This window comes from Homo sapiens, chromosome 5 (assembly GCF_000001405.40).
Source record: "Homo sapiens chromosome 5, GRCh38.p14 Primary Assembly".
NCBI lineage: Eukaryota > Metazoa > Chordata > Mammalia > Primates > Hominidae > Homo > Homo sapiens.
This window is the reverse complement of record NC_000005.10, coordinates 80,819,640-80,845,542: the sequence shown is the minus strand read 5'-3', so window position 1 is coordinate 80,845,542 and position 25,903 is coordinate 80,819,640. Positions and strand designations below refer to the sequence as shown.

The 25,903-nt window shown below is 38.4% G+C and overlaps 1 protein-coding gene across 1 annotated transcript in view, besides 2 other annotated features; it reads right to left on the bottom strand.

Annotated features, from left to right (window-relative positions):
- MSH3 (mutS homolog 3) overlaps positions 1 to 25,903 on the bottom strand; it is a 222,164-nt gene that overhangs the window by 31,273 nt on the left and 164,988 nt on the right. The window lies entirely within an intron of this gene.
- Positions 7,520 to 7,569: an enhancer, noted in NCBI's record as "active region_22728". NCBI's record gives its function as "activates an Ori minimal core promoter by ATAC-STARR-seq in GM12878 lymphoblastoid cells {active_cell/tissue: GM12878}" and the evidence as "EXISTENCE:reporter gene assay evidence [ECO:0000049][PMID:35858748]".
- Positions 19,456 to 19,656: a silencer, noted in NCBI's record as "peak5311 fragment used in MPRA reporter construct". NCBI's record gives its function as "represses an SCP1 promoter by STARR-seq MPRAs in K562 erythroleukemia cells {active_cell/tissue: K562}" and the evidence as "EXISTENCE:reporter gene assay evidence [ECO:0000049][PMID:32103011]".

Here is a 25,903-nt window from a genome sequence, read left to right as displayed (position 1 = left end):
GATTGGTGTACTGGAAAGTGACGGGGAGAATGGAACTAAGTTAGAAAACACTCTTCAGGATATTATCTAGGAGAAGTTCCCTAACCTAGCAAGGCAGGCCAACATTCAAATTCAGGAAATACAGAGAACACCACAAAGATACTCCTCGAGAAGAGCAACTCCAAGACACATAATTGTCAGATTCACCAAGGTTGAAATGAAAGAAAAAATGTTAAGGGCAGTCAGAGAGAAAGGTCCGGTTACCCACAAAGGGAAGCCCATCAGACTAACAGTGGATCTCTTGGCAGAAACCACACAAGCCAGAAGAGAGTGGGGGCCAATATTCAACACTCTTAAAGAAAAGAATTTTCAACCCAGAATCTCATATCCAGCCAAACTAAGCTTCATATGTGGGGGAGAAGTAAAATCCTTCACAGACAACCAAATGCTGAGAGATTTTGTCACCACCAGGTCTGCCTTACAAGAGCTCCTAAAGGAAGCACTAAACATGGAAAGGAACAATCAGTACCAGCCACTGCAAAAACATGCCAAATTGTAAAGACCATTGACGCTATGAAGAAACTGCATCAGTTAACAGGCAAAATAACCAGCTAACAGCAAAATGACAGGATCAAATTCACACATAACAATATTAACCTTAAATGTAAATGGGCTAAATGCCACAATTAAAAGACACAGACTGGCAAATTGGAGAAAGAGTCAACACCCATCAGTGTGCTGTATTCAGGAGACCCATCTCACGTGCAAAAACACACATAGGCTCAAAATAAAGGGAAGGAGGCAGATCTACCAAACAAATGGAAAGCAAAAAAAAAGCAGGGGTTGCAATCCTAGTCTCTGATAAAACAGACTTTACAGCAACAAAGATCAAAAGAGACAAAGAAGGGCATTACACAGTGGTAAAGGGATCAATTCAACAGGAAGACTTAACTATCCTAAATATATATGCACCCAATACAGGAGCATCCAGATTCATAAAGCAAGTCCTTAGACACCTACAAAGAGACTAAGACTCCCACACAATAATAATGGGAGATTTTAACATCCCACTATCAATATTAGACAGATCAATGAGACAGAAGGTTAACAAGGATATCCAGGACCTGAACTCAGCTCTGGACCAAACGGACCTAAAAGACATCTACGGAACTCCACACCCCAAATCAACAGAAAATACATTCTTCTCAGCACCACATCACAATTATTCTAAAATTGACCACATAACTGGAAGTAAAACACTCCACAGCAAATATAAAAGAACAGAAATCACAACAAACTGTCTCTCAGACCATACTACAATCGAATTAGAACTCAGGATTAAGAAACTCACTCAAAACTGCACAACTACATGGAAACTGAACAACCTGCTCCTGAATGACTACTGGGTACATAATGAAATGAAGGCAGAAATAAAAGTGTTCTTTGAAACCTATGAGAACAAAGACACAACATACCAGAATCTCTGGGACACATTTAAAGCAGTGTGTAGAGGGAAATTTATAGCACTAAATGCCCACAAGAGAAAGCAGGAAAGATCTAAAATCGACACCTTAACATCACAATTAAAAGAACTAGAGAAGCAAGAGCAAACAAATTCAAAAGCAAGCAGAAGGCAAGAAATAACTAAGATCAGAGCAGAACTGAAGGAGATAGAAAAAATCCTTCAAAAAGTCAATGAATCCAGGAGCTAGTTTTTTGAAAAGATCAACAAAATTGATAGACTGCTAGCAAGACTAATAACGAACAAAAGAGAGAAGAATCAGATAGACGCAATAAAAAATGATAAAGGGGACATTACCACCGATCCCACAGAAATACAAACTACCATCAGAGAATATTATAAACACCTCTATGCAAATACACTAGAAAATCTAGAAGAAATGGATAAATTCCAGGACATATACTCCATGCCAAGACTAAACCAGGAAGAAGTTGAAACTCTGAATAAACCAGTAACAGGTTCTGAAATTGAGGCAATAATTAATAGCCCACCAACCAAAAAAAGTCCAGGACGAGACGGATTCACAGCCGAATTCTACCAGAGGTACAAAGAGGAGCTGGTACCATTCCTTCTGAAACTATTCCAATCAACAGAGAAAGAGGGAATCCTCCCTAACTCATTTTATGAGGCCAGCCTCATCCTGATACCAAAACCTGGCAGAGACACAACAAAAAAAGAGAATTTTAGACCAATATCCCTGATGAACATCAATGCGAAAATCCTCAATAAAATACTGGCAAACCAAATCCAGCAGCACATCAAAAAGCTTATCCACCACGATCAAGTCAGCTTCATCTATGGGATGCAAGGCTGCTTCAACATACACAAATCAGTAAGTGTAATCCGAAACATAAACAGAACCAATGACAAAAACCACATGATTATCTCAATAGATGTAGAAAAGGCCTTCAACAAAATTCAATAGCCCCTCAAGCTAAAAACTCTCAATAAACTAGATATTGATGGAATGTATCTCAAAATAATAAGAGCTATTTATGACAAACCCACAGCCAATATCATACTGAATGGGAAAAACTGGAAGCATTCCTTTTGAAAACCGGCACATGACAAGGATGCTCTCTCTCACCCCTCCTACTCAACATAGTATGGGAAGTTCTGGCTAGGGCAATCAGGCAAGAGAAAGAAATAAAGGGTATTCAGTTAGGAAAAGAGGAAGTCAAATTGTCCCTGTTTGCAGATGACATGATTGCATATTTAGAAAACCCCATCGTCTCAGCCCAAAATCTCCTTAAGCTGATAAGCAACTTCAGCAAAGTCTCAGGATACAAAATCAATGTGCAAAAATCACAAGCATTCCTATACACCAATAATAGACAAATAGCCAAATCATGAGTGTACTCCCATTCACAATTACTACAAAGAGAATAAAATACCTAGGAATACAACTTACAAGGGATGTGAAAGACCTCTTCAAGGAGAACTACAAACCGCTGCTCAACGAAATAAAAGAGGACACAAACAAATGGAAGAACATTCCATGCTCATGGATAGGAAGAATCAATATTGTGAAAATGGCCATACTGCCCAAGGTAATTTATAGATTCAGTGCTATCTCCCACATCAAGCTACCACTGATTTTCTTCACAGAATTGGAAAAAAGTACTTTAAACTTCATATGGAACCAAAAAAGAGCCTGCATTGCCAAGACAATCCTAAGCAAAAAGAACAAAGCTGGAGGCATCATGCTACCTGACTTCAAACTTTATTACAAGGCTACAGTAACCAAAACAGCATGGTACTGGTACCAAAACAGATATATAGACCAATGGAATAGAACAGAGGCCTCAGAAATAACATCACACATCTACAACCATCTGATCTTTGACAAACCTGACAAAACAAGCAATGGGGAAAGGATTCCCTACTTAATAAATGGTGCTGGGAAAACTGGCTAGCCATATGTAGAAAGCTGAAACTGGATCCCTTCCTTACACCTTATACAAAAATTAACTCAAGATGGATTAAATACTTACATGTAAGACCTAAAACCATAAAAACCCTAGAAGAAAACCTAGGCAATACCATTCAGGACATAGGCATGGGCAAGGACTTCATGACTAAAACACCAAAAGCAATGGCAACAAAAGCCAAAATTGACAAATGGGATCTAATTAAACTAAAAAGTTTCTGCATAGCAAAAGAAACTGTCATCAGAGTGAACAGGCAACCTACAGAATGGGAGAAAAATTTTGCAATCTACCCATCTGACAAAGGGCTAATATCCAGAATCTACAAAGAACTTAAACAAATTTACAAGAAAAAAACAAACAACCCCATCAAAAAGTGGGCAAAGGATATGAACAGACACTTCTCAAAAGAAAACATTCATGCAGCCAACAGACATATGAAAAAATGCTCATCATCACTGGTCACCAGAGAAATGCAAATCAAAACCACAATGACATACCATCTCATTCCAGTTAGAACAATGATCATTAAGAAGACAGGAAACAACAGATGCTGGAGAGGATGTGAAGAAACAGAAACGCTTTTACACTGTTGGTGGGAGTGTAAACTAGTTCAACCATTGTGGAAGACAGTGTGGCGATTCCTCAAGGATCTAGAACTAGAGATACCATTTGACCCAGCCATCCCATTACTGGGTATATACCCAAAGGATTATAAATCATGCTGCTATAAAGACACATGCACACGTACGTTCATTGTGGCACTATTCACAATAGCAAAGGCTTGGAACCAACCCAAATGTCCATCAATGATAGACTGGATTAAGAAAATATGGCACATATACACCATGGAATACTATGCAGCCATAAAAAAGGATGAGTTCATGTACTTTGTAGGAACATGGATGAAGCTGGAAACCATCATTCTCACAAACTATTGCAAGGACAGAAAATCAAACACTGCATGTTCTCACTCATAGGTGGGAACTGAACAATGAGAACACTTGGACACAGGAAGGGGAACATCACACACCGGGGTCTGTCGTGGGGTGGGGGGAGTGGGGAGGGATAGCATTAGGATATATACCTAATGTAAATGACAAGATAATGGGTGCAGCACACCAACATGGCACATGTATACATATGTAACAAACCTGCACGTTGTGCACATGTACCCTAGAACTTAAAGTATATTAAAAAAAAAGAGCATTTCTTAAAATTTAAAAAAAAATGTGGCACACATACACCATGGAATACTATGCAGCCAAATACTGCATGTTCTCACTCATAGGTGGGTGTTGAACAATGAGAACACATTGGCACAGGGCGGGGAACATCACACACCGGGGCCTGTTAGGGGTAGGGGGCTGGGGGAGGGATAGTATTAGGTGAAATACCTAACGTAAATGACGAGTTGATGGGTGCAGCAAACCAACATGGCATATGTATACCTATGTAACAAACCTGTACGTTGTGCACATGTACCCTAGAACTTAAAGTATAATAAAAACAACAACAACAAAAACCCAAAAATTAGCCGGGTGTGGTGGCAAGTGCCTATAATCCCAGCTACTCGGGAGGTTGAGGCACGAGAATTGCTTGAACCTGGGAGGCGGAGTTTGCAGTGAGCTGAGATTATGCCACTGCCCTCCAGCCTGGGCAACAGAGCAAAGAAAAAAAAAAGAATATTCAAGGAAGATAATAACATGAGATACAAGGAAGAGTAGCAGTCGAAATGGAAGAAGTGAAAAAAGCTGGATAGAAATGAAGAGTTTTAGACTGGGATGCCTAGAAGATTCCCCTTTCCTTTCCCCATTGCTTGTTTTGTCAGGTTTGTCAAACAACAAAGTTTAGTACCTTAGAATGATATACATATATATTTAGCTCTAAAGAGAATACACATGTAACATGTGATCACAATAATGCATTCCATTTTTAAACTAGCCTATGAAAAAGCACAAGAGATAATACACCAGTAATAATAAATGTCAGAGACCTTTTCAAGGTAAAAACAGTTTTAGAAACTGGAAGCTGAGAAGAAGAACGGCTCAAGCTTGAATTGATAAAAAATTTCTTCATATTTTATAGCAAAAGGTTAACAGATACTGTCTAAAGCTAATAAATCTAAAACCAGAGTTAAAATATTTTATATGAATATAATGTTAACTACCAGAAGAAAATCAGGGACCACTCAGTGGTTGCCTCTAGTGAGTAGGGCTGGGGAGGGTAGCAGGGGGTTGGGAGGAAATGGGAATCCTCCTAGTTTTCAGTTTTGTGCCCTCTGATTTGCTTTAGTTTCCTCCTACCATGACAGCCACTGCTTCTGTAATTATAATTTTTGAAAGTATTTTATTGTGTCACTTTTTATATTAAAAACTACATGTGCAAAAAATATATATAGAAGGCTATCAACATGTTTAGAGTAGTTATCTCTGGGTAGGAGGATTATGGTCATGTGGTGACCCTTTCTCATCCCCCAAGCACCTAGCAAACATCTGACACAAAGATGGAGATTGATAAATGGACATTAAATGAAAACAACATAATCAATCCTTCTTTCCCAATTCCAGTGGATTAAAATACACAGGAAATATTGTTCTAGGATGGCTATAAAATTTCATGCTGCTTATTTTCATTACTATCATTGGGATACCCTTAAGAATCGGTTCAAAAAATATAGAGCGTGCCCAGATATACAGTGTGAAGACACATACACATATAAGTAGCAAATTTATTTTATTTTATTGAGACAGAGTCTCACTCTGTTGTCCAGGTTGGATTGCAGTGGCACAATTTCAGCTCACTGTAACCTTCACCTCCAGGGTTCAAGTGATTCTCACGCCTCAGCCTCCCAAGCAGCTGGGACTATAGGTGCACGCCACCACACCTGGCTAATATTTTGTATTTTTAGTAGAGATGGGGTTTCGGTATGTTGGCCATGCTGGTCTCAAACTCCTCGCCTCAAGTGATCCGCCTGCCTCAGCCTCTCAAAGTGTTGGGATTACAAGTTTGAGCCACCGCACCCAGCCAATTTAGTTTAATTTAAAGTTAAAACATCAGATCACGTCTTAAACAATAGAGACATTCAGAGAGATTGAGTACTGTCACTAGAAGTTTGCAAATTCTTATTTTAGGGCTAAGGCCTTGAACTTTTCTATGTATCTATTTCTTGGCATTAAAAAATTAGCTGTCTCATTGAAAAAGGAGCTTCTAGTCTACAAGATTGAGTGAAAAAATGTATAAATGTCGTAATTAAAAATTTATGTCACACAGCTAAACATGGTAGAAACAGCAGTAACTTGCATAAATAGGCCATCACTCTAGTCCTGGCTTAGCCACTAAGTACTGTGAGATCTTAGGCAAGTCGGATAACTTTTCTATGTGGTTGTAGCTTCCTTGTCTGTAAAAAGAAGAGGTTGATTAAAAAAAAAATCCTCTACTCAAGTCTAGTGATTTTTCATGAATGTATTAATCCATGCTCACAATGATATAGCAAAAAGTCCATTAGATTAAGTTTACTCAAGAGCAAAAACTGATTTAATATAGGTAAATCATTTAATGGAAAACTTTTCAATTACTTCTCATGGTAGCTGAGACTCAAATGTGATAACATATGTGAGCAATTTTCCTGTCTTGGGCACTCACTGAAGTGTTTTACCGGCATTATCTCATTTTGTCCTGACACCACATCATGAGACGTAGATCTTTATCCCTATGTACAAATGAGGAGACTGAGGTTTAGTGCTCAAAAGGATAGTCAGTCATGGAGTCAGGATTCAAACCTGGCTCGGTCTGACGCCAGAGTCTACACTCTGCTCACTCGGCTTTAGAGGACACTCTACTGTACTTTAAGAGGCTGAAAAGTACCTGTGGTGGACATGCTCTATAGTGACCCCAACCATCTCCACTTTCTGGTGTTCACCCCCTTGGATAATTTCCTCCTCTTATTGTGAGTGGGACCTGTAACTTGCTTTGAACCATCAGACTATGGCAAAGGTGATGAGATATTAATTTCACGATTATATGATGTTGTATGTTTTGCCAGTCAACTAGTGCTAGAGACTTTCTCCCCAGCTGGCTTTGAAGAAGTTCACTGTCATGTTGAGAGGGCCATGTGATCTGCAAGCATCCTCTAGGAGCTGAGAGCAGTCCCCAGCCTACAGCTGGCAAGAAGCTGAGGACCTCAGACTCACAACCTCAAGGAAATGAATTCTGCCAGCAACCTGGGTAATTCTGAAAGTGGATGCATCTCTAGTCCTGACTCAAGGTGAGAATCCCACCCTGGCCAATACCTTAACCACAGCCTCACACAACCCTAGCTAAGCTGTGTCTGGGGTCATGAACCACAGAAATGTTGATATAATAAATGTGTGTTGCTCAAGCTGCTAAATTTGTGATAGTTGGTTACACAGTTCAGAAAAATAATACAGTATCTTTGTTCTATAAATATGAAAATGAGAATTCAGCATTTTCTTTCATTTTCCTTGCCCCTTTAAGATGCAATATCCAGTCCCCAGCATTTTTATTTTATTTTTTTAGACAAGGTCTGGCTCTGTTACGCAGGCTGGAGTACAATGGTACGATCTTGGCTCACTGCAGCCTCAACCTCCCAGGTTCAAGCGAACTCCCACCTCAGCCTCCTGAGTAGCTGGGACCACAGGCGTGCACCACCATGCCTGGCTAATTTTTGTATTTTTGGTAGAGATGGGGTTTTGCCACATTGCCTAGGCTGGTCTCGAACTTGTGAGCTCAAGTGATCCTCCTGCCTCAGCCTCCCAAAGTGCTGAGATAATAGGCGTGAGCCACCGTGCCTGACCCCTGTCCCTAGTATTCTTGCAAACTAGTTTCACTAATTTACACTCTTTGGTCGAAGCTGTTCCAATAGCCTAGTTTTTCCTCTCCACCTTCACTTTTACTAACAGCTAATTTATCTTTTAGCTCCGTATTTTAAAATCAATGGAGTCATTTTGATTCCTATGCTTAAAAACTTACAATGTTTTACTAATGCCTGGAAAATAAAATTCAAAATTCCTAGCATGGTTTTCAAGACCCTCTGTGTGGTCTGATCCTACACCTCTCTCCAGTCTCCTCTCCTTCTGCACAACACAGGATCCCATGTCACCATGACAACAATTTATCCTTGCCATCTCTAACACACGGCATGTACTTTTGAAAAATAATAGCTTTATTAAGATATAAGTGACATAGCATAAAATTCATCCTTTTAGAGGGTATACAATCAGCTCTCCGTATCTGCAACCGCAGATTCAATCAACTGTGGATCGAAAATATTCAATAAAAATAAAAAACAATACAAAATAATATAAATGTTAAAAATAATACAGTATAGGAACTCTTTACATAGCATTTACATTACACTAGGTATTCTAAGTAACCTGGAGATGATTTAAAGTATCGAGGAGGATGTGCACAGGTTATATGCAAATATCCCACTTTATATCAGGGATGTGATCATCTGCAGATTTTCATACTGGGGGGTCCTGAAACCAGTCCCCAGCAGATACTGAGGGAAAACTAATTCAGAGCTTTTTTTTTTTTTTTTTTTTTTTGTGGCATATTCAAAGAGCTGATGTGACACACCTTTATTCCTCTGTGTGTTCTCATGGTTCCATTATACTGGAATCATCTTCACCCCTCTCTTTCTGTGGACTGGAAGCCTTATCATCCTTAAGCTGCTTCTGTGTAGCTGTCCCTGATTCCCCTCCCATAGAACTGACCTCACTGATTTATCTCTGTAGTCCCCTCAAGTGTTAAGCAGAGTGTCTTGCACATAAGATGTTCAATACAAGTTGAAATGAATCATTTGTTTTTACAATTGTAATACAACTTACTCAATCCACATCACTCAAGAGTTAACAATTTTGTGAATGTCCAAAATTAAAGTTTAAAATGAAAAGAAGTGACTGATCATGGAGCAAAAGGATTTAAATTTATATGTTCCTTTGTGCTTCCATATAGATTACGATATCCTTGTACAGTATTGCTGAGTTTATTCTAAAAAACATAAAATTATAATGTATATAATTCTAAGAAATATGACAGAATCTTAATTTTTAATAAGATATCAAAAAGTACTTTTTGGTGTTTTCATGGAAAGCTTATTATAGTAATATAACTGGTTGTTGTTATTAAAGACTGTCACATAACCTCCACAGTATTAATATTTTCTTTCTTTTTTTTTTGAGACAGTCTCTCTGTTGCCCAGGCTGGAGTACGGTGGTGCAATCTCAGCTCACTGTAACCTCTACCTCCAGGGTTCAAGTAATTCTCGTGCCTCAGCCTCCCGAGTAGCTGGGACTATAGGAATGTGCCACCATGCCCAGCTAGTTTTTGTATTTTTAGTAGAGACAGGGTTTCACCCTGTTGGCTAGGCTGGTCTCGAACTCCTGACCTCAAGTCATCCACCCACCTCAGGCTCCCAAAGTGCTAGGATTACAGGCATGAGCCACCATACCCGGTCTCATATTTTCTTCTTAGTTAAAAACACTGCATTTAAAAAATAACTCCAATTTTTCTTTTTCACAATGACCTAATTAGTGTAAAAATGCCTTTCCTATATTGGTAAAGCCAAACCTGTGCTAATGAAGTATATGTAAAAAAAAAATGCTATTGCTGCTTTTTATTTTTTTACCTTCCGCTTATTCAATCTGCCTTTGCTAATACCTTCCTCTCTGGCAAGACTAACAGATCGCCCATTCTCCAGCCTGCCTCGCTTTGAGATTTTGTCACTGGTGACTACTCATTTGTAGATGCCTCTGATGATCTTTGCATCAAACCCCAGACAGTCTCTCAGTCATCTTTTATCAAAGGTCTTTGTTCTTACCAAACTTTTCCTACGGGATGGTCTGACATAGACAAGCTGTAAACAACAAAAGCCAATTGCTCTAGACAGAGCTATTTACCCTTCCCCTACATTTTTTCTTCTTGCTCAAGCTCTCTACATAGAATTTGGTCATTTCTTTCTCCAATGGTTCTTCTCTTTTGACAGAAGGGAAGAGCTTGTCTGATGGCACATTCTTTGCCATCTTTGAGGCAAGAGAAAGAATTTTGAAAAAGTCTTGGTGCTGGACAAGTTCTTAGTAATCATTTTATACTCCTATTTTATAGATGAGATAAGACATTTCAGAGGTCAAGCCACTTCCTCAAGGTGACAGGGCTAATCTGTGGCAGACAAGAGACAAATACTTATTAGGTGTTCTGGTTTCTGGCCTGGAGTTTTTTGAGTCACCCCTACATGCCTCATGGTATTATAGGGTTTCTTTCTTAAGGAGGGCAGGCCAGTGTTCAGGAGATCTTGGACATACTTTTATTAGGCAATGGTCTTGACTCTAGTACTAGGTCAGAGGTTTCAAAATATCTTTTTAGCTGTTAAATCCTTTGTTCAAATAATATTTTTACTTTATTATTTTTAAGTATTATTATTTTATATTTATATATATTTTAAGTATTTATTTTTATTAAGTATTTAAACTAAAAATATATTTTAATTATATTTAAAATGTAATAACTAGAGTTTAAATATTAAAATTGTTAAGTAGAGGCAATGATTATTTCTATTACAGGAGGATTCTTTGACTTACTTCAAGTGCTTTTAAAAATTATGATAAATATATATAACATAAAATTTACCATTTTAGCATTTCTTAGGTACACAGTTCAGTGGTATTAACATCCACAAGGTTGTGTAGCCATCACTGCTTTCCATTTGTAGAACTTTTTAAATATTTAAAATATATTTTAATATAAAATATTTAATATTTTATAAGAAAATTCACTCTGCAGATTAGATACAATGAATGATGTTTGCTCTGGTTAAGAACCCAGGACTATTAGGCCTGTTATTCTGAGGCGGCTCTGTGGGACTCACACCCTGGAGGGTAGTTTGAAGGCCACTGCATTAGGAGCCAACACATTTTCTATTACAATTCTATTTTTCCATAGCACCTGATGGTACGGATGTAGTACCAATGGAAGTAGCAATGCTGAATACACACTGAAGAAATACTGGCTCATGAACCAGTCATCAAGGCTACTGGGGAAGTATGCATTTATAATTGTGGGAACTGTTTATTGATAAACGTATTTCCTGTTAATTTCCTTTAAGAAATGTATAGTTTATTTATTCTAGCTTGATTACTAGAAAACAACTGAATAACATCTTATACCTGGCTTTATATCATAATTCAATTCTTATTTTCTCTCTGATCCAGAGTCTTTGATACCATTCTCTTCTCTTATTATTCTGCTATGTTGTAAATATCTCAGTAAAGTGCCTAAGATGGCTGGGCGCAGTGGCTCACGCCTAAAATCAGTTTTAGAAGCAAGACAAGATATACATTAACAAGAAAGTTTGGCTGTGCGAGGTGGCTCACGCCTGTAATCCCAGCACTTTGGGAGGCTGACGTGGGCGGATCATGAGGTCAAGTGATCGAGACCATCCTGGCCAACATGGTGAAACCCCATCTCTACTAAAAATACAAAAATTAGCTGGGTGTGGTGGCACGCTCCTGTAGTCCCAGCTACTCAGGAGGCTGAGGCAGGAGACTCACTTGAACCCGGGAGGTGGAGGTTGCAGTGAGCCGAGATGGTGCCACTGCACTCCAGCCTGGCGACAGAGCGAGACTCCATCTCAAAACAAAAAAACAAAAAAATAAATAAAGTTTATAGTTTTTATTAAATCAACAATCATTTATAAGACATACTATACTAGACAATGATGTTAAAATATGTTAGAGATTTAGGGAATTCCACAGCATATGTTATTATTATCAAGCTGTCTGTATTTACAGTCAAATGTAGTAAAAAATGAAAAATCCATTCTTTAGGTTTCATCTTAAAGTTAGTTTGCCCTGAGTAGACAGAAGGTTACAGTTATGTGATTAAGGAAAAAAAAAATCACTCTGATATTTTTAGGAGTGGCAGCTGACTAATCTTTCTAATCCCCCTACTCCCCTCCTCGCCTATAACCCTTATATAGGTCAACAAAGCTTAATAAAGCATTGTGGAAAAAAGAAATTAGTACTTTTTTGGGTCAGTTTCTAAAATAAAAAACACTTTCATGGAAATTTGAAAAACAGTTTGTTTTTATGAGATCTTACTATTTTGAGATAATATTCTAGATGTCTCTCAGGCAAATGGAGTGGGCTTCTGTCCCTTCAAATCACAATCTCTGGGCCTTTTGCAAGGAAAATGCTAGTATAAGGGAGAAATACTGCAATTAGGAAAAGAGGACTTTTCATATTGAATGATAACTAGAGCTTAAATATTAAAATTGTTAAGTAGAGGCAATGATTATTCCTATTACAACAGTATTATTGGACATACTTCAAGTGCTTTTAAAAATTATGATATATATATATAAAAATAATAAAATTTACCATTTTAGCATTTCTTAGGTACACAGCTCAGTGGTATTAACATCCACAATGTTGTGTAGCCATCACTACTTTCCATTTACAGAATTTTTTTTTTTTTTTAATGGAGTCTTACTCTGTCACCGAGGCTGGAGTGCAGTGGGACAATCTCAGCTTACCACAACCTCTGCCTCCCAGGTTCAAGAGATTCTCCTGCCACAGCCTCCTGAGTAGCTAGGATTGCAGGCTTGCACCACCACCCTGTATAAGTTTTGTATTTTTACTAGAGACAGAGTTTCACCATGTTGGCCAGCCTGGTCTTTAACTCCTGACCTCAGGTTATCTGCCCACCTCAGCCTCCTAAAGTGCTGGGATTATGGCGTGAGCCACCATGCCAGGCCTCCATTTGCAGAACTTTTTCATCAGAAACAGAAAGAGAAACTCTGTATCCATTAAGAGTAACTCTTTACTCTCCCCTTTCCCCATCCTGGAAAACTCTCCCCTTTCCCCATATTTTCTGTCTCTATGAATGTGCTTATTCTAGGCATCTCATATAAGTGGAATATAGATTTATCCTCTAAGTGCTTTGTATGGGAGAGTTTTTTTTGTTTTTTTGTTTTTTTGTTTTTTGAGAAGGAGTCTCGCCTTGTCGCCCAGGCTGGAGTGCAGTGGCGCGATCTCAGCTCACTGCAAGCTCCGCCTCCCGGGTTCACGCCATTCTCCTGCCTCAGCCTCCCGAGTAGCTGGGACTATAGGCGCCCCGCCACCACACCCGGCTAATTTTTTTGTATTTTTAGTAGAGACAGGGTTTCACCGTGTTAGCCAGGATGGTCTCGATCTCCTGACCTCGTGATCCACCCGCCTCGGCCTCCCAAAGTGCTGGGATTACAGGAGTCAGCCACCACGCCCAACCTGGAGAGGTTTTAAGAGTTAGTTTATTTTGTGTGCTTTCTGAAACTGAAGATGTTCCCATTCACTTCAGGTTGCTAAAAACTTTGAACTCTGTCCAAAATGGATGTCTAAGTCAAAGCTTGTTTTTTTTTTTTTTGGATATTACATACATTTTACAAAAGATAGCTAATCTCCTAACTAACAAAGTACTCTAACTTTTAAGAAGGATGGTATAAGGAAGAAAAACACCCCAAAAAACTAAAGTCCAAGTAGAGGAAAGACTGTAAGAGAATACCAATTACTAAAAGATATGTAGGCACCATATGGTATTTAAAAGGCATAAAAAGCGTGAATTAGTAAATCTGTCTTGTATTTAATTAAACATAAACAATAACTCAGAAATGGAATGAAATTACAAATGATTTACCACTACATATGTGCACTTTAAAAAAGCCTGGAAAGCCATCTACCTAAACAACAATGATCTCCAGGTGGTGGAATTACAAGTGATTAAAAAATTTTGAGTTTAAAATTTTGCATAATGAACATGCATTACTTGTGTAATTAGAAAAACAAATGTTATTTTTAAAAATCACAAATGATACATTTAAGAATTATATCGTATCATTCTGTTAAGACAAGGCAGAAATAACTAGCCTTCTTCTAGCAATATGAAAAACATTTATTAGCATAAGTAAAATTACAGACAATCCCTGACTTATTATTTTAAAATTTTATAACGAGCTTACTGGAGTATTAAGTGCATTTTTGATTTATGATGTTTCTGACTTATGATGGGTTTATCAGGGCATAGTCCCATTTTAACTTGAGAAGCATGTGTATTATAATAGAAAAAAAAGTTTCTCTCATATAATCCTTCCTTCTAATGATTGCAATAAGATCACACTACAGTATTTAAAGTTTATTTATAAAAGTTATAATACTAAACTGCACATATAATCAAGCAAAACCCACTGTAGCAATCTTTCAATTTCCGTGGAAACACTGATGAGAATCAAGAGAACAATCCAGAAAAATTCTAAATTTCTACAGGCTCACATGACAGTGTTCCCTGGCCCTGTCTATAAAGCATGTGTAGGACACTTACGAAGGACACAGGTATTTTCCTTCAAAGAAAATCCACACTGTGCTGACTGGGCAACTCATCCTCTAACATAGCTAGTAGTCCACTTTGTGGGAAAGTCCCAAGAACTGCAAAGAAAAATAATTAACAGAGCAAATGATTTCACTCAATGTTAACTATAGCTAGGAAAACTACACATAATTAAGGTTGTCAAAGGAAGATTAATCTGTCATCATGGATAAAATTAATCAGATAAATCAATAAGATGAATACAGGGGAACCCAATATAACCAGAGGCTGCATCCTTATAAACTGCACACATTATAACCTCATGCAAAACAAAATCTCTCTCTGATCCTGTTTTTCTTCCTATAAAATGTTAGAAATTAAAATGCAAACAATGGCTCCTAAATTTGTGCATCAGAGTCACTTGTAGAGATTCTTAAAAATAAGAGTTCAAGGGCAAACCAGAAACAGGAAAGTAAATTAAATCTGAAGTAGGCAGAAGACAATAAATGATGAGATTACAGCAGAAATCAGTGAAATTGGAAATAGAAAATCAATAGAGAAAAATCAACAACACCAAAAGCTAATTCTTTGAAAAGATCAAGAAAATTAATAATTTCTAGCTTGGCTAAGAAAAAAAGAGAGAGGATACAAATTACTAATATTAAAAATAGAAGAGGAGACATCACCACAGATCTCATGGGCATTAAAAAGATAATAAAGGAATACTGTAAAGTGTTATGGCCATAAATTTCATATCCTAGATAAAACAGACTGATTCCTTGAAAGATACAATCTGTCAAAACTCCCACAAAAAGACAGGGACAATCTGAATAGGCCTGTATCTATTAAAGAAATTGAATCAATAAGTATTAACCTTCTAAAATAGAAAACACCAGGCACAAATGGCTTCACTGGTGAATTCTATCAAACATTTAAGGAAGAAATTAGACCAATTCTCTATAATCTGTTTCAGACAATAGAAGCAGAGGGAATACTTCCTGACACATTCTATAAGGCCAGCATTACCTTAATACCAAAACCGGACAAAGGCATTATAAGAAAACTACAGGCCAATATCTCTCATGAACATAGATGCAAAAATCCTCAATAAAATATTAGCAAAATGAATCCAACAATGTATAAAAAGAAAAACAGACCATAACTAAGTAGGACTCATCCTAAGTGTGCAAGACTGGGTGAACATTTGATCACCAGTTAACATAATCCATCACATCAACTGGCTAAAGAAGAAAAATCACATGATCATATCAACAGACGCATAGAAAGCATTTGATAAAATCCGACACCCATTCATGATAAAAACTCTCAGTAAATTAAGAATAGAGGAGAACTTCCTCAACTTGATAAGGAATATTCACAAAAAAACCTATAGCTAACATCATACTTAATGGTGAGAAACTTGAAGCTTTTCCAACTAGGATCAGCCAAAATAGGAAGCTGTCACCTCTTACCACTCCTTTTCAACACTGCAGTGGAAGTACTAGTTAATGCAATAAGACAGGAAAAGGAAATAAACAGTACTTTGGTTCAAATTTTGACCCTTCTGAAATTCAAGTTGAAACTTAATCTCCAATGTAACAGTACTAAGAGGTGGGGCATTTAAGAGGTGATTGGGTGATGAGGGCTCTGCCCTCATAAATGAATTAATCCATTCGTGGATTAATGCCAAGCAAAAATGTGGGGTCAGAGCCAGAGCCAGGACAGACAACCCCAAGTGGGGTAATGTCTAGTGGAGCAGAGAGAACAGAACCTCGCTGAGATCTCAGAACTGTAGAACTGCCAGCATTCAGCTCCAGCCTGGGAAAGCTGCAGGCACTTGACTGTTACTTGTGAGAACTGAAGCCTGGGAGAGCCCAGGAAAGCCTAGGTGGTGGGGCTGCCTGAGGCCCTGGGATCCAATCCTCACACTGGTGTATCTAGGAAGCAAGACATGGAACCAAGGAAGATTACTCTGGAGCCTCAAGGCTTAGTTTTTCCTTTGGGTGTTGGACTTATTTGGGACCTGTTACCCCTTTCTTCTTGCCTATCTCTCCCTTATGAAATGAGAATGTCTTACACCTGTCCCACCATTTATTTTGGAAGTAGGTAACACGTTCATTTCACAGGCTCACAGCTGTAAGAAATTTACCTCAAGATGAATTGTCCTTTGAGCATTACTCACATCTGATTCGATGAGACTCTAGACTTTGGGGCTATAAACATGGAATGAATGTATTTGTATATGAGAAGGACATAGAATTTGTGGGGGCCAGGGGCAGAATGCTGTGGTTTGAATGTTTGTCCCCTCTAAAACTCACATTGAAATTGAATTCCCAATGTAACAGTATTAAGTGGGGCCTTTAAGAGGTGACTGGGTCATCAGGGCTCTGCCCTTATGAATGGATTAATCCATTTGGGGATTAATGGATTAAGGGGTAATGAATCAATGGGTTATCATAGGAGTGGGTTACTTTCACTAGAGTGGGTCTGTTGTAAAAGCCAGTTTGGTTTTCTCTAGTAAGCCCCCTTGCCATGTGATGCCTTCTGCCATTTTATGAGGCAGTAAGAAGGCCCATACCAGATGTAGCCCCTTGACCTCGGACTTCCCAGTCTACAGAACTGTAATAAATTTACTTTGTTTATCAATTACCCAATGAGCCCTCATGTAAACTATGGACTTTGGGTGGTAATGATGTGCCAATGTAGGTTCATCAATTGTAAGAAAGGGAGTACTCTGGTGGGGGATGCTGAAAATGGGGGAGGCTGTGCAGGGGCAGTGGTAAGTGTAGATGGACACTCTCTATACCTTCCTCTCAGTTTTGGTGTAAGCCTAAAACTGCTCTGAAAAATTAAAGTCTTTTTTAAAAAAATAGTGTCTAAAGGCCTCCTTCATCATACCTACTACAACAGTATCTATCTCCAGGGGATCTTCAATCAGAAGATTTGCCTGGGATTTGCATTTAAAACCAAATCAAACCAAACCTTCAGGTGACTTTGAGGAAGCTAATTAAAGGAACAAGCCTTAAATTCATAAAATAATTTCCCATGAAAAAGATGAAATAAGATAACTAGTGTTTGCTAGACACAGTTAAAGAAAGCACAGAGATATTGATAAGATGACATTTTTAATGCCAATAAAATCATAACAACTTACTCATTTAGTGCTCACTTATCATGTGGATTTTAGTACTGGTATTTACAACTAATTAGAAGGTGTGGACTGATTCAAGATGTTTTCTTTCTGTCCATAAAGAATATATTTTGTATAGAGTACAAATACTCCACAGTCAGTGCTCAATATTTTCTGAATTACACTAAGTTGGGCAAACAAATAAGTTACTAAGTACTTGAATGTCTATTATCTTCCAATTCTCTTTCAAGAAAAACACACTCGTGCCACTCTGAGTACACAGAATTCCCTGAAGCTGGGTGTCAGAAGAGGGAGTTTGTGTAAGTAGCATGGCATGAAAATTGTTAGCTATGGGCCACATCGAGTAAATATCTCTTTTCATCAACGCTTAATCACCAACGTTTAATAGAAATAAATTATGCTGAGAGAAGAGGCCAATTGTTTTGCTTTTTTCAAACTGTTTTCTAATGAGACTTAATAATTCATTGCTTTTCTAAAACTTAATTACTGAGTCTAAAAGGCTAGATGAGATTTAAGTTTATATTCATCAAGATAATAAACAGATCTTATCTCAGTGATGCATTCAAGGATGTTAATGATCCTTGGAAATATGGGTCTAGAAATATTTCATCGATGAGTACACATATCATAATGCACAGATATATCCATTAGAAACAAATGTATGTGTTTGCCAAAACTCTACTTTTTAAAAAAATCTGCTTCTTATTCAGGAAAAGATTCATGTGAGGTTATAGTATTCAGATAAAAGATTCTGGAGGCCGGGCGCGGTGGCTCACACCTGTAATCCTAGCACTTCTGGAGGCCGAGGCAGGTGGATTACCTGAGGTTAGGAGTTCGAGACCAGCTTGCCCAATGTGGTGAAACTCCGTCTCTACTAAAAATACAAAAATTAGCTGGGCGTGGTGGCACATGCCTGTAATCCCAACTACTTGGGAGGCTGAGGCAGGAGAATCGCTTGAACCCAGGAGGTAGAGGTTGCAGTGAGCCAAGATTATGCCACTGCACTCCAGCCTGGGCAACAAGAGTAAAACTCCATCTCAAAAAAAAAAAAAAAAATTCCTAACCTCCTGTCTGTTTATAGCGTTTCATCCATTTACTTCTTCTTCTTGCACACTGTATAGCACATAGTGGGCACTCAATGAATATTTATGGAATCCACAGATTTAAACCTAGTGTTCTAAATGGCCAATTGATAATAGAATCTATTTACAGATACAGCTTGGAGCTAAATCTTATGCAAATATCTCATTCTGCTAGATTTTAATATTTTTTCCATTGAGTACAAAAAGCATTTGAAGTGATTTACAATAACATATTCTAATGAAACAATTACATGAAACTAAGATTACAAGCCATACAGTAGATTCTTACATTTAAGCTTAGCATGAGCTTTTAAAATGCTAATTCTTGTGTACCACCTTGGAGATTCCAATTAAAAAGATGTGTGAAAGGGCTTAGTAAGTAGCATTTTTAACTAGCACCGCCAAGATTCTGATGCAGCTGTTCTAAGAATGACACTAGAGAAATACTCCCATAAAAGAAGCGAAGGGGAAAACTAAGCCAAATTTGTTTCCACACCTGAGCCTTGAGTTTAGCTCTTGCTGTCTTGGCAGCCAAGACAAAAAGGAATTAAAGAGGAAGCAGCCACTGGCTGATAGCAGGAAGCCTGGCAGTTTGTCAGAAAAGGCCAATAAATTGCTTCAAATCTTTTTGTAAACAGGCACAGTATGCACATGGAGAGAAAAAATGTCCCTAGCATTAACAAAAAAATAATTTACCAGATGGCACTTCATGTGAAGGACATTAAGTAATAAAAATGAAAATGTTCTTATGAGCAATTTTGGAGAATATATAGAAATATCATCAAATGAACATTTCTTATTCTAATCTATTTTAAGCATGAGAACAAACTTTTAAACACTGGTGGTGGGATTCTAAGCTGGTACAGCCTCCTTGGAGATCATGAAAGACACATGTTCCTTACAATCCAACAACTCCACTCCTAGATTGAGAAAAACTCCCTTGTGTGCACTAGGAGTTGAGTATGAGACAAGTCACAAATATGACTGTTTATATTTGCAAAAAATTGGCATCATATCAAGAAAAATGAGGGAATAGTAATATATTCATAAAATAAACTATCATAATTAGGGAAAAATTAATGAACTCAAAGTATATGTACCCATATGAATTTTATAAATATATAACACTGAGGGGGGAAAAAGCCACTTACAGAAGAATATAGTGTGATACACTGTGTGTAAAGTTTAAAAGCATACCAAATACTTCCATGCATTGTTTCAAAAAACATCAGTGAGTAAAAATGTAGAGAAATGCATGGGATGGATACCAAAGTCAAGGACAACCAGTTAGTTACTATGGATAGGGTAGAGGGCAATGGGATTAGGGAGGATTAGAGGTTCGATTGTATTGTAGTGTTTTATTTCTTTAGTAGGGTAGAAGGTGCATGGAGGATTATTATACGTCTGAATTATTTCATAAAAAATCAATGAAAGCTACAAGGGCGTAATATTAAACTATATCCTAGGGATATAATTTAATGGGATATAATTATATCCTAGGGATAAAATTTAATGTAGTCCATGTAGATTCCTTTCCAGTGGTAACAACAGGAAGATGTGGGAGCACAGTGGAATGGATAGGGAACATGTCCCATATACTAAAGGGCAGTCTGTCCCAGACGGAGCTCTCAGAGGTTAAAGAAATCAAGGAGTATCTGTACTCCAGATACACTGCAGTCATTAAAAAGAGCACGACTAATCTGTATAAACTGATAGAGAAATATGTCTCCCACATATTAGGAAACAAAAGCAAGTTATACAATAGTAATGCTTAGTATGATACCATTTTAGAAAAGAAAAGATGTATACTTGTAGACTTGTGAAATGTTACCTAAAGAAACATGGTAGACCTGGGGAGAATGGGGTGTTTTTGTTTCACTTCATACCCTAGTACACCTGTTACATTTCATAATAAGCACCTATTATTTTTATAATTCAACACATGATTTCTCCAGCGAGGGCTTGAGGAAGTGCTTCCACATCTTGGCTTCACTTTGAAATCATCTGGGACACTTTTAAAATGTGACTTCCAGACCATGCCCCAGTCCAACTTAAGATTTCTGGGAGGGAGGTGGGGGGCAGCCCCCGCCCGGCCAGCCGCCCCGTCTGGGAGGGAGGTGGGGGGCAGCCCCCGTCCTGGAGGGAGGTGGGGGGCAGCCCCCACCCGGCCAGCCGCCCCGTCCGGGAGGGAGGTGGGGGGCGCCTCCGCCCAGCCGCCACCCCGTCCGGGAGGTGAGGGGCGCCTCTGCCCGGCCGCCCCTCTGGGAAGTGAGGAGCCCCTCTGCCCGGCCGCCACCCCGTCTGGGAGGTGTACCCAACAGCTCATTGAGAATGGGCCATGATGACGATGGCGGTTTTGTGGAATAGAAAAGGGGGAAATGTGGGGAAAAGACAGAGAAATCAGATTGTTGCTGTGTCTGTGTAGAAAGAAGTAGACATAGGAGACTCCATTTTGCTCTGTACTAAGAAAGATTCTTCTGCCTTGGGATGCTGTTGATCTATGACCTTGCCCCCAACCCTGTGCTCTCTGAAACATGTGCTGTGTCCACTCAGGGTTAAATGGATTAAGGGCGGTGCAAGATGTGCTTTGTTAAACAGATGCTTGAAGGCAGCATGCTCATTAAGAGTCATTACCACTCCCTAATCTCAAGTACCCAGGGACACAAACACTGCGGAAGGCCGCAGGGTCCTCTGCCTAGGAAAACCAGAGACCTTTGTTCACTTGTTTATCTGCTGACCTTCCCTCCACTATTGTCCTATGACCCTGCCAAATCCCCCTCTGCGAGAAACACCCAAGAATGATCAATAAAAACAAAACAAAACAAAACAAAACAAAAAAAGATTTCTGGAGGTAGGGTTCAGGCATCAGTATTTTTTTTAAAGCTCCATGGAAAAAAAAAATTTAATGTGCACTGAAGATTAAGAGTGCCATATGAGCAGTGTTTTTATTATGAAAATTAAATACATGAATCTTGTATTCTCTCCCAGACAGAATGCCATCAACTCCTAAAGGAAGAAGAACTAGGGTTACTTATAGTCTGGGAAAAACTTTGTGGACAAGTAAGGTCTGATATATTGAAGTGCCCAGGATGGTCTAAAGCTTAAAACCCCAAATTCCACGTCCCTGAGTAGGAAAGAGATATTTGCCCCAGAAAAAAAGAGTTGTCAGACAGTGACCATGTAAGCATTTCACCAGATTCCTATAAAACATCTCATTTTGACCAATACTGGTAGTTTGTGAGGGTGAGGAGGTTTTACTTTTTTCACACATTTATTTTAGAAATTTAAAAATTTACATAAGTAAAAGAAAAATGACCATAAAGCCATATCCCCCATGGTATTTTGGAATAAGCCTTCTATCTAGATGGTTTTCTCCACATATATTTATACATACAATTACTCATACAAAAGTGAAATGAATGCCAGGCTTTGTAACTGGCTCTTTTTCACATATTGTAACAAGCGTATCTTTCCACATAACACTACCCACCAGGACCAAGTCACTGCAAAATATATCCCGAAGTAGCTAAAAAACTAGTATGTTTGATGGAATAAATTGAGAATGAATCCTACTATGCTGAAACAACAAATTTGGTGGTTGTTCTTTCACACAGTGATTGGCAATTGGGCCAGTTCCTTAAGGCTGTTCCTGAGTCATGAGATAAAGGCATGTCTCAGCATGGAGGAGGATGTGCATCTTCCATGAGACCACCTTCCATGCCAGCCACTTCCTGAGGAACAGAAGGAAAGGCACTGCCATTATCCCATTCTGTGTGGGTGGTGCCTCTAGGTTCCTGGATTCTCAATTCTATTATGGCCACAGTGCTCCAAGAGGGAAAGTGTCAGGGAGATTAGATTTGGTCAACTTCTTTCAATGAGAACAACTAAGAGAAGCACTTCATAGTGATTTCACATCCTTTCAAAACTTATTCTCAAATCAACCTTGTGAAGTCGGTATTATCGAACTTTTTGTTTTATAGGTGCAAAAACCGATGCTAAGTTTAGAAAAGTGAGCACTATACTCACACATATATGAAGACAGACTTTTAAATCTAAAATACTAATGGCATAGAATCTGGAAGAAAAAAAACTAAAATTTACTAGGTACCTACAATGTGTCTGGCATTTTCATGTACTTTATTTAATTCCCACAATAATATATGAGGGTTAGCAGTATCAACTCCATTTTACAGGAAAAGAACTGAGACACTGAGAAGTAGTAATTTGAAAAAGGTCACATAGTTGTTAAAAGGGAAAAGCAAGATTTGTGCTCAAGTATAACATGTCTGATTCTCTTGACTATGGCACAGTACTTCTCTCAGGGTTCTAGAAGGATGAAGTAACTTGCACATGGCCAGGATGCTGGAGAACTTGTACAGAATCTTGAGTTTTCTAGATCTAAAGCCCCTATTCTTTCCCATACACAGCCGGTTTACTCACATTTTGCAGGTAATTAATATTAGCAAGAGATCTGAGAATCCTATTGACCTATCAAAAACTGTGTGAAGTCTAGGATTTTACTCTGCTTAAAAGCTAACAGGTTACCCTAATACCACTGGTTTCACAGATAACGGCAGAAGACACAAGGCCACTGGGTCAGAGACAAAGGACTTTATTACTCATGTTGGTTTACATTAGCCCCCAAGTCCTGTGAGGGTGATGTACCATGGATGCTGTGCATACAACAAGGGAAGCAAGCTTCCTCTTTAAGGGGAGAATTAACTTATCCCTCCAGGTTGTTTGCTGCAAGCACAACTTTGACAAATAAGTGGCCCATGTAAAAAGCAATCAGGGGCTTTCTTGGCATACTCAGTAAGAATATGCAGGGACACAGGCCCTGTGGCAGAGTGCTTCTATAAACATGACCTGAAGGTTGATAAACTAACAGCTACTCAAATGGCAGAGCACAGGAAAATGTCCCATATTTCAGTATTTAAATCTCTATAATCTGCATATTTCTTTTTAAACTGGCACGTGTAATTCTTTATTAATTAATTAATGCTTTAAAGTTGTGGTCAATTTTGAAATATGGGATCAGTATCTCTGGGTTTGTTTCAGACTAATGATAACTTCCAGGATGAAGTGAAAACAATGTAATATAAATGTGAAAATAATTTCATTTCTGAATGACTTTAATTTATATTAGTAGCTGTACTTACTGCCATCCTGAGTGGGGCAGGGAATACACAATGGAGTAGAGTTCTTTCCCTCAAATAGTGAACAAATAGCATGATGGCATAGGATAACCAGTTATGAACTAAGATAGATACTGAAATAAGACACTGAAATAACTGAGTCCAAATAAATAGGGCATTAGGAGTTTACCGTGAACAGATCATTGTGGAATGAAATGGTCAAAGTGTCATAGAGATGGGACTTAAAATTGTAACTAATATTACCAAGGAACTACTATATGTCAGGTACTAGATTGTTTTATATGCATTATTTAAACTACATGACAACACCCTGAAATATAAGTATCATGATTATCCCATCTTGCAGAGAGAGAAGCAGGTGAAGAGAGCTGAATTGCCGGCATGGTCTGATACTCAGATTTGCCTGAGACTTCCCACTTTAGGGACCAGAGTCCAGACTGAGCAACTAAGCTTAACCTGGACCTTCGTGAAGTGCAAATCTCCTCTTACTCAGCATCACAAAGGTGCACTGGTACACAGAGTGTTGTCAGGACAGACTAATCTCCATGACACTGGAACTTTTGCTCTTTCCTGTGTATTAATAATTTATCCTGCCACATACCTAAACTTAAGTGTTTTCTTTATAAGACCGAAACTTACATAGAAATTTGATGACTTTTTGAGTCCTGTGGCAAAACTTAGTTAAGCTCCAATATACTATTTTAGATGGTGTTTGAATCACAAGGGGATGTTTCCTTCAGATTCCAGAAATTTGGACTAAGAAACAGAGTTATGTCAACACATCTTATTTATATTACAGTTTTTATTGTCAGTTTTTAAACAAATATTTACTGCACATCTACTTAGTACTAGGAATAGGGGATAAAAGGTGTGCAGAACAAGCACAATTTCTGTCTCAGTGGAGCCTGTGATCCAAGAATAATATAATCAAACATTTGTTTCCTAAACTGTAACCAATGGGACCCAATAAAACCTAGTCTGTGTGATACTACCCAATATATTCTTCTAGCTGATTTTATTACTAAAAGATTGCTGTCAAACACAATAAAAATTTGTTTTAAGTTGCCTTCTTAACTAATTAATTCATTTGGCTTTCTGGGCACTGTGAACTATTTAACTGAACAAATTTAGCTTTGTGGAAACCTTTGAACCAGATTTATGGCTTATCCACAGCAGTATTGGGCATTGATGTTTTAAGCCTCAGTCATGGCTCCATTTTAAGCCCTCATCCTTATTTATTCACTTAAGCTATTTTGAATTTTCTGCAAGCTGTCTCATTCCTTTCTGGAAGATGACAGGAAAAACATGAATGAAGGAATGAGCAAGCAAATAAACACGTATACACATACACTTCTCTAGCATTGCATGGTCTTACCGAATTGTAAAGATTTGCTTCTCCATCTCCCTTACTGCACTTGAGCTCCTTAAAGACAGGGGCTTTCTTGGCATACTCAGTAAGAATATGCAGGGACACAGGCCCTATGGCCTTAAAGACAGGTAAATTATCTTATTCAGGTTTGTATCCCTAACGTCTAGCATAAAACTACAGTGCACTAAGGTTTTAATAAAAATATGTTTTTGGCCGGGCGCAGTGGCTCACACCTGTAATCCCAGTGCTTTGGGAGGTCAAGGCGGGCGGATCACCTGAGGTCAGGAGTTTGAAACCAGCCTGGCCAACATGGCGAAACCCCCTCTCTACTAAAAATACAAAAATTAGCTGGGTGTGG